Genomic DNA, 10,156 nt, shown 5'->3' on the forward strand with positions numbered 1-10,156 from the left:
CAGGCTTTGGCCATCAGTGCAGAGGGAGGAGGTCCTCATCTCTCCACTGGAGCAGTTACAACCAGAGCCTCCTCTCTGCGTGGGAGTGAGGCTCGGTCCTTCCCCTGAACACGGTGACAGGGATCTCTCCACAGGTAGAGATGACACCATTCCTCCTGTAACATGGTCCAATCTCACGCTTGTTCTGCTTTACAAGAAAGTTGACCCACGCTGGTGTCCCCTGAAGAAATCACAGGCACAGAGGAGGGACAGGTGGATTTCAGGGCTGTGCTTGATCTGGGAAAGGAAGAGTGCAGACCGCCAGGTGGCGCCGCTGCACTGCTTCTGCGCCCAGGAGGTGCCTGCTGGGGCTGAGATTGAAGGTGGGGAGAAGGATGTCACAGCTCATCGCACAGGTTCCCGGTAAAAATCCTCCTGCCCAGCCTAGCGGGCTCTCCCTTAATCAACTGTAGCGAAAACTGTCTCCTTCTCACGTTCCTGGAAGGTGCTTTTTGACACAAGAAAGAGGATGTGATTGCTAGGGTCATCATGTCATTGTTTATTGTGTTGCCAGTAAAGTGAAATCAAAATACACAATAAATAATAAAATAACCCATGATAAGCCAATGTTTATAATGTACTAACACCACTGAGCCAGTGTTTATAATGTACTGACACACTCCAAGTGTGGGCACAGCTGCAGACATGCCTTGTCTCTTGGGTCAGGACACAGGGTAGAGTGAAATGGAAAGAAATCCCAGTCACTGCAGAAAAGGGCCCCCATGGAAGAGGCCTGGCAGGGAGGCCAGCTGTCCCAGGGCCGCCATATTTAGGGATGACTCCCCCTTTCTGGGCAGCACTGGTTTTTTTAATTATTTTTGCATTCACAGTAGTTCTGAAATTGCAGGATGCTGAGACCCAGCACTGGTCAGTTACACCGTCTCTTCTTCACCATTAAATACTGTGCCAAACAGCACCTTCATACATTTCCATCCTCTTCCAGGAGAGAATCAAAACAACAATGGACACATTGATGCATGCAAAAATACTTTAAATATGTGCTATCAGAAGTAGCTACTAAAACATTAATTCCACTGAAATGAGGGAGGCTGTAAAAAAGAAAAACATTGCATACCCGTATTCACAGCAACATTACTCACCATAGCCAAGACAAGGAAGCAAACAAAGCACCCATCAACACATGAATAGATGAAGAACATGTGGTCTATGTAGGCAATGGAATATGATTCAACCTTAAAAAGAAGGAAATTCTGTTACATGCTGCAACATGGATGAACCTGGAGAACAATGCTAAGTGTAATAAGCCAATCACAAGGAAATTCCAATACTGCGCAATTCGTTATATGCGGCGTCTAAACTCTTAGAACCTGAAAGTAGAATGGCGGCTGCCAGTGGTTAGGCTGGGGGGATTCTTGAGGAGATTTTCAGCGTAGAGTTTCAGTTTTGCAAGATGAAAAGTTCTAGAGATCTGTTGCATAACAATGTGCTACAGTTCATATTATAGTACTCTATACTTAAAAATTGTTACGATACCAAATTTTATATAATATGGATTTTGGCGCAATGAAAAAAATAATTAGCTCTGATACCAACTTAGGAAAAGAGCACATGAATTTATTGAAAATATATTAGCATGTGCTTACTATGAAAAAGAGATGCAGAAAACTGTGAGACAAAAAGAGAGATCCTTGCTACCCCAGCTATTATCCATGAACCAGCAGAACCAGCATCTCATGAAACTGGACAGAAAGGCTCACAGGCCCAGCCTTGACAGGTTGATCAGTCTGCATTTGTCAGGACCCCAGGTGGCTCCACTGCATGTAAAGCACCGCCCCAGATGGTGGTGGAGGGAGATCCTAGGAAGGTGACTCTGTCCCACAGGTAGAAGCCTCCAGTCCAGATGGGAGCAGCCAGAAGGGCCCAAGAGGGACATTTCCAAGAAAGTAAAATTAATAGAAAGTTCAAAGTCTCTAATTTCTTAACAGAGTCACAGAAATGGAACAGATATCAAAGTTAAATTAATGAGAGTTATCTAGAACATAAACAAAAACAAAGGCAAGTATTAACTTGAGGAAGAACAAATACTACGAAGCAAGTGAAAAGTAGTCAAGTTGACATATGAGAAGATGAGTCACGGAAAAAAACAAGGAGTGGCTGAATTAAACATAATTACTATATAAATATACTGGGAAAAGGAAAGAACGGGAAGAGTGAAAGAGAACAAGTGATGGATGTGGTGACGTCGCGTTCTCCCGGGCGGGGCCGGAGGCGGTACAGATGAGGGACACATTCATGGCTAACGGGACGGCTCTTCTCGTTCTGCGTTCCGCTTGCGGTCGGTAGTCTCTCCTCCCCGCCCATGGGCGGTGGTTGGAGGCAGGGGTGCGGAATCCGGCCGACCTCGCTGTCCTCGCCCTCTACCTTGTGGCGTCGGTGGGGTTGGGGAGATGAGTTCTCCGACGCAGCAGGCACCCCTGCTCATCTCCTATGGCTGTTGCCTTTTGGGCAGCCCCTCTTCGCGGCGGTGGGGCTGTCCCGCCGGCCTGTCACGTTGCCCTTCCCTGGGCTTGTGAGGATTGGCTCCGCTTGGACCTTTGCGGTGCTCCCGGAGCCCTCCAGGTTGTCCCTCCGGTGCCGGAGGCCAAGCGGTGGTGTCCTTCCTGTTCCCAGCGCCCCCTCCTCCTGTCGCTGCTGCAGTGCCTGTGTGTGGGTCCTGAGGGGTTTTGGGGAGGTAGAATATTTTTATTTATTTAAATAAATTAAAAAATAAGAAAAAAATACAAAAAGAAAGAGAACAAGTAATCTTAACTATTGATTCCACCATCGTGCAGTGCAATAGTCAATGGCTGCAACTGAAAAATCAAGCAATGTTAATAAAGAAATGGTGCTTTGGTGCTTAGATATGTGAAAGTAAAGTCAAAAGAATCAGCTGAAACTTGAAAGTGGTTGCTCCCTAGAAAGGCAGAAATAGAGAAGAGAGGACTCTCCCTAGAAAGGCAGAGAAGACTCTCATTTTTCTCAGAAAGTCCTGCACAAATATTTACTCTTTCCATTATGTGCAATTGTAACTTCGAATAAAATAAAAACAAAAGCTTCAGTTAACATGCAAGTTTATGCCTAATGACAACTTTGTTTAACAATGATAAAGGGCTAACCAAAATATAAAAACACTTAAACATAAAACAGCATGTATAAATGTGTATGTGACATCAACCCTGAATACAAACTTGAAAGAATATGTCTATAAACAACTCTGGATAGATAGCCCATGAATGAATTCCCCACTCCAGCATCTTTACTGGTTGTCCTGTGAGCCTAGGCAGGGAGGGGACCAGGACCTGACTAGGGTCCCTAATACTCTTGCTTCCAGGCAAGTCCTGCATGCACTCCTGCTGCACCAAGGGCTCCCATCCCTGCCTTGGTCTGTTTCATAGGTGCTCCCCTAACTCTCTGCCACCACTGCCTTACCTGGGTGGAGCTGAGGCCGCCCTGACCAAGAAGAGCACCACCCATCTATGTGCCCCAAAACCAGAAAGTCAAAAGAAACCTTGCAACAGGGTCAGGAACTATCCCACCTCCCCACCTCCGAATCAGTCTGAACTGATGGCGGGAGATGCTGATGCTTGCTTTACTCATCCTCATTCCCTGTGCATTTATTTTTCACTAATTCAGTCCACATCTCCTAGAAGCAGACTGACCCCTACCCTTCATAATCAGGAAACCCCAGAGCACTTTTTATCCCCTCCAGAATATAACACTTCAGCTCTGCATCATCACATGAGGGCTCCAACTCTGTAGGGCAGGTGTACTCTCACAGCTTCAGGCCCTGAACATTTGCTTCAGATGTCCCCCCATCCCTTTCCAGACCTGTCTGTGTTGCTCTGAATCTGTCCTTCCCTGAGAACTGGCGGGGAGATATCAGGGAGGAGGGGAGATTTCTTTGTGCTATGTCAACGCATCTAGACAGAGCTCTCATTCTCCCTTGAACCTCAACTCTATCCGTTCCCAGACACTTGAAATAAAACACAGACCAGAAATGTCTATTTAAAAGCTAAATATCTATAGTATAAAATATGAAGACAGAGTAGAATGGGGTAATGCAGGAGAGTGTGACAGGGCGAGGGGACCTCAACGTGCCAGGAAAGTTGGTCCTTGGCTCCCCGGAGGAGCCGTCACCAGGACACTCACTCATAAAGCTCACCTGTGATAATACAACTACATGACATTAATGTATTAAAATATAATAAAATCATAACAAAATAACAAAAATAATATGGCACAGCTGCAAACACCTCATATATACTAACACTTTTCATCCACCCAACCACAAGAAATAAATGTTGTTACATTCCCTATTTCATAGATGAGAAAGCTGAGCCAGCAAGAGAAAAAGTGCTGGTGAGACCTGGGCAGGGCGTTCAATCCAGGCCGCCTGGCTGCAGAGTGTAGGTGCCCTCAGTAGAGCCAGTGGACCTGGGAGCTGAGAGCAGAGACTGAAATCCCAGCTGTGCACTGCCCTGGTGTTCTGTCTGAGTCAGGTGTTGATCTGGGCCTTGCAGGCTCATGTGCTCTGGAGAAAAGAGAAAAAATAGTAAGTGCTCCCCTGGGTGCACAGTGCTGCTTTTTACTCCCTGACGACTTCTCCCTCCTCAGTCAGTCCCAAATCAGATTCACCCTTTCTCCGAGGGAAGATGATGTCTGCACTTTTTTCTCCCTCCCATGGCACTTTTCCCAGCCCCTGCCAGTCCCCTCCCGTGACTCCATCAACATCAGCCCCTGCCCTGTGCCCACCAGCCACCATGCAAGGAGGAAAAGAGCCCCAGGACCAAAGGACAAGACCTGGGAAAAACCCAGTGCCCTCCCCTCCTCTCAAGCCTGGCCAGCTCTGACAGCAGGAGGACTCCCCAAAGAGAGGCTCTGGCCCTGGCTCCATGTCCTTCCAGGACTGGGCTGGGTCACACGCACAGTCCTTCTCTTCCTCAGTCCCCAGTCCCACCTCACCTGTAGAGACACCTGCACACAAAGGCAGGCCCTAAACACTGTGGTTCTGCCCTCCACCTGCAGCTCAGTGCTCCTCCACTTCCAGCCCTGAGCAGGCAGCTCCTAACTGGGAAGCCCATTAAGAATCCCATCAGCATGGCAGGCCCAGCATGGAAACATGTAGCTGCTATGGGGTCTGCAGCTGACCTGACCCTGGGAACCCCCTTGCTCAAGGAGCCTACCCTGACCCCCAGGCCCATGACCTGCACTTGGGCCATGCTTGCTCCAGCCTGGTCCACTCATCCCTGGAAGCACAGCTTCTCCCCAGGGCTGCTGCTTGGGGAGGCTGAAAGGCCTTCCTCTCCTGTTCCTAGCAGGGATTCCTAGCAGGGATTCCACCCAAGCCACTGCCCTCACAGCCCATAGGGGATCTTCTTCTCCCTGTGGAGTAGAAAGTTTCTTGAGACCCCTCAGCCTGAGGCTGCCTCTGCCCACCCTTTGCACTTGGGGATTGCCACTGCCACAGCCACTGTCTCCCACATGGACCGTCCTGGAGAGGGAGCTCCACATTTGAGTTCCTGTTTCATTTGATATGGGTTACAACATTAGTATTGGTGGAAATCCTTTTAAGACCCAGCTGAAACTACGAACATCTTTATTGGACATCAGCATTTAAAGCAGGAATTTTGAGAAATTAGCACATAACTTTCACACCCCTTTCCTGGCCAGTGCCCCAGTAACCTACAAGGCAACCGTTCCCGCCCACGGGGAACCAGAACTGACAATCCCTCTTCAGGAGACACCACAGGTGAGAGCAGGAGCGACCACAGACCTGCACTGCCCCTGCTGTGGGTGCCTCCTGGACAGGGCCCTCTTGCTGCAGGGCAGGGGATGAACCATCCCATCTGCCCAGGCCTGAGGGGCCAACTGACAGTGCAATTAGGTTCAAGGATGAGAAATCACCACCCCCTGCCAGATACACAGAAGTGGGGAAATGGCAGAAAGACTCGGGTTTCCCGGACACTCCAGGCTCTCAGTGTCTCCTGCACTGTCTCTGTCTTTGCAGAAACACAAAACTTGCTGCTTGCTCTTTTCCCCTCCCTTCAAACAACCTGACTGTGCGGGAAATCATCCTGACCATCTCTCACTCCAAACTCATCAGGCAGTGCTTATTCTTTCAAAGGTATTTTGTGACTGTGCAAGCAAATATAAATGTATATGTGTATGTTCTTTCTCCCTTTGCACACAAATTTTAGCAAACTACATATGCTTTTCTGTACCTTGCTGTTTTCCCTTACCATTGTATCACGGAGACCATCCCATGAAGAAATATCAAGAACTACACTATGTCTTTCTTTTTTTTGTTCAAAAATTTCTTGGCAATCCACTGTATAGGCATGCATTTTTTAAAATAGAGATTACCCTTTTTGAATGCAATGCTTTTTAACCAGCTCCCTACTGATAGGCATTTGGATTATTTCTTTCAGAGAACAATTTGACATCATGTAGCATCATATGGGAAGGGTGCAGTGACCCCACTCTTACATGCATATCCTAGGGGAGCTCACATATTCTTGGAACCAGAAAGCAATGTCCCAGCATGTTCATTGCAGCAGTGTCTTTAATAAAGACTATGTAGAGGTCAATGAAGTGGGGAAGAGATAAATTGTAGCATATTCCTCCCATGGAATACTATCTAGCAATGAAAACAAATGAACTATTTGTGTGAACATTGATCCATCTCATAGACCATGTTAACGGAAAAAGCAAGCAAATGCATAACAAAATCAGCAAGAAACAATTTATAAAAAGTCTAAAAGTAAAGCCAGGCAAGGGGGCCTATACCCATAATCCTAGCATCTTGGGAGGCCAAGGTGGGCAGATTGCTTGACCCCAGGCGTTCCAGACAAGTCTGGGAAACATGATAAATCCCTTTCTCTACAAAAAATACAGAAATTAGCCAGGCATGGTGGCGCAAACCTCTAGTCCCAGCTACTCAAGAGGCCTAGAAGGGAGGAATTGCTTAAGCCTGGCAGGTAGAGGCTGAAGTGAGTTGTGTTTGTGCCACTGCATTTCAGTCCAGGTGACAAAGTGAAACCATGTTAAAAACAAACAAACAAACAAACAAACAAAAACAAGAGACTTTTTAAAACTTAGTAAGAATATAGGGGCATACAGCAAATTCAAGACACACATTCACCAACAGTTCTTGCTTTGCTCAGTACAGTATTGACTGAAACACATGCATAACAGAACTGTGGAAAATCAGGGCTATCTACACGTGTTTCTGTTATTTTCTATGTATACTACATACAGCCAATAATATTAAAATGTCACAAATTGACAAACCTGGGTGGCAGCTTCACAAAGATTTCTTATAATTCTCTATTTTTTCTTCTAGCTAGAACTACCTTATAATAAAATTTGTGAAGTGAATCCACAGAAATTGAGCAAAATAAAAAGGAGTCGTTGAGTGTGAGGAAAGCTACAGAGAAGTAAAGACAGGTGGAGACATGACAATACTGAGCATGTTAGTGACCTTCACAGTAACTGACTTCCTGGAGGAGTGTGAGCTTAAGCCAGAATGAAGTGATAGACCGTGAAAGACGGATGAAGGAGTAGGAGCTTCTGGAGGCAAACATGGTATGTGGTTGGCTGGATTGGGATATGTGGAGGGACTCTGAACATTCTGCTTTAGGTCCAGCACTAGAGAAAGAGGACTCATCTTTATTTAGCACCTTCCACAATCTGTAGAGAAATCTGAAACATTGCAAAAGAAGATATATGAATGGCCAGTTCAGGGAAAAATGCAAAGTAAAACCACAGTGAGAAACCACTAAGCAACCATTAGAATGGCTAAAATTAAAATGATTAATAACTATAAATGCTAGCAAGGAAGTGGAACAATCTGTACTCTCCTCCATTGCCTATAAGAATATAAAACATCCATTTTGAAAATCAATTTCATATCATCTAATAAAGTTAAACAAGCTAGTCCTCTACAGCTACCATTTCCACTCCTAGGTATATACTCAAGAGAAATGAAGATTTTGTCGATAATCCCTGCATAAAAATGTTCATAGTTTCTTTATTTATAATAGTAAAAAACAAGAAATAACTGCCAATGTACAAAAATCATGATTCAGTCATACAATGGAATATTATCAGCAATGAAAATGAAAGAACTACTGATACGTGCACCAACATGGATTGATCACATAGGTATTACAACAAGCGCAAAAAGCCAGATACAAGGGAGGCCATATGGGATGAGTAGATTTGTATGAAGTTTTAAAACAGGAAGAACTGTGCTATCCTGACAGCCGTCAGATCAATGGCTGCTGGAGGCATGGAAGCTGAGTTGAAGGGAGAAAAAGGGATCTTTATGTACATTGATAGTGGCAAGAGTAATATGCTGTATTGGTCAAAATTCATTGATAAATTTGATGAAGATCTGATTATTTTGGTATATGTACATTTTATAAGCTTAAAAAGCTTATAATAAAAATTATAAAGTTGCTGATAAAAATAATAATTAAAAATATTAGCAACAAAATCCAACAGTATACCAAAAGAATAATACACCATGATATATCCATATATGGCAAACACACAGCTAACATTATACTGAATAGGGACAAGCTTATAGCCTCTCCTCCAAGATCTGGAAGAAGGCTAAGACTCCCACTTTCATCACTTTTATTCTACACAGCACTAGAAGTCCTAGCAAGAGCAATCAGCCAAGAGGAGGAAATAAAGGGCATCCAAATTGGAAAGGAGAAAGCCAACTTAGCCTTATTCGCAAATGGCATAATCTTTTACTCAGAAAAAACTAAATATTGGCCGGGTGCGGTGGCTCATGCTTGTAATCCCAGCACTTTGGGAGGCCAAGGCAGGCGGATCACGAGGTCAGGAGATCGAGACCATCCTGGCTAACATTGTGAAACCCCGTCTCTACTAAAAATACAAAAAAAAAAAAAAAAAAAAAAAATTAGCTGGTCGTGGTGGCGGGCGCCTGTAGTCCCAGCTACTCAGGAGGCTGAGACAGGAGAATGGCGTGAACCCAGGAGGTGGAGCTTGCAGTGAGCCGAGATCGCGCCACTGCACTCCAGCCTGGATGACAGAGCGAGACTCCATCTCAAAAAAAGAAAAAAAAAGAAAGAAAGAAAAATCTAAATATTCCACCAAATAAATGGTGAGAACTAATAAGCAAATTCAGTAAAATTACAGGATACAAAATCAATGTGCAAACTTTCAGAGCATTTATATATACAAGCACCATATAATCTGAAGAAGAAATCAAGAAAGCAAAACTATTTATAAATCATAAAGAGGATAAAATAACTAAGAATCAATTTACCCCAGGAAGTAAAACAAAAACTATAAGGCACTGATGAAGGAAATTGAAGAGTACACAAAACTGGAAGAGCCAGGCGCAGTGGCACATACCTGTAATCCTGGCACTTTGGGATGATGAGACAGGAGAATTGTTTGAGCCTGGGAGTTCAAGACTAGCCTGGGAAACATAGTGAGACCTTGTCTCTAAGGAAAAAAAATAAAACACACAAATTGGGAGAATTAATATTGTTAAATATTAATTTAAAAAATGAAACACATAAATTTCATGCACATAAATTGGGAGAATATTGTTAAAATGTTCATACTACCCAAAGCAATTTACAGATTCAATTCAATCCCTATCAAAATACCAATATCATTATTCACAGAAATAGAAAAAATTATGAAATTCATATGGAATCATAAAATATCCCAAATAGCCAAAGCAATCGTGAGCAAGAAGAACAAAGCTAGAGGTATCACACTTCCTGAATTCAGAATACAATATAAAGTTATAGTAACCAAATCAGCATGGTGCTGGCATAAAAACAGACACATAGACTAATGGAATACAAAAGAGAACTCACAATAAATCCATGCATTGATAGCCAACTCATTTTTGGTAAAGAATATACAATGGAGAAAGAACAAAAGCAACAATGGAGAATAAATGGAGCTGGGAAAATGCTACCAGATGCAGAAGAATACCACTAGAACCCTGTCTCCCACCATATACAGAAATCAACTCAAAATGGATTAAAGATTTAAATGTAAGTCCCAAAACTATAAAACTACTAGAAGAATGCTTACAGGAAACACTCCAGACATGGGTCTGGGC

The 10,156-nt window shown here is 44.1% G+C and overlaps 1 long non-coding RNA gene and 1 pseudogene across 3 annotated transcripts, besides 1 other annotated feature; both read right to left on the bottom strand.

Moving 5' to 3' along the window:
• Nucleotides 1-85: 85 nt before the first annotated feature.
• Nucleotides 86-9,470, bottom strand: LOC105375010 (uncharacterized). 3 transcript variants are annotated; one of them, XR_926681.2, is made up of 4 exons: nt 9,430-9,470; nt 4,406-4,570; nt 1,140-2,713; nt 86-487 (listed from the first exon to the last, which is right to left on the bottom strand). It is a non-coding gene; the product is annotated as an uncharacterized LOC105375010 (long non-coding RNA). The 3 variants fall into 3 exon arrangements; XR_926682.3 differs by lacking the exon at nt 86-487 and having other exon boundaries at nt 519-1,232; XR_926680.3 differs by lacking the exon at nt 86-487 and having other exon boundaries at nt 519-2,713.
• Nucleotides 196-490: a silencer, noted in NCBI's record as "tiled region #7378; K562 Repressive DNase unmatched - State 12:CtcfO". NCBI's record gives its function as "represses a minimal TATA promoter and a strong SV40 promoter by Sharpr-MPRA in K562 cells {active_cell/tissue: K562}" and the evidence as "EXISTENCE:reporter gene assay evidence [ECO:0000049][PMID:27701403]".
• Nucleotides 4,271-6,136, bottom strand: MICF (MHC class I polypeptide-related sequence F (pseudogene); annotated as a pseudogene).
• Nucleotides 9,471-10,156: the final 686 nt, after the last annotated feature.

Source organism: Homo sapiens, chromosome 6, assembly GCF_000001405.40.
Source record: "Homo sapiens chromosome 6, GRCh38.p14 Primary Assembly".
NCBI lineage: Eukaryota > Metazoa > Chordata > Mammalia > Primates > Hominidae > Homo > Homo sapiens.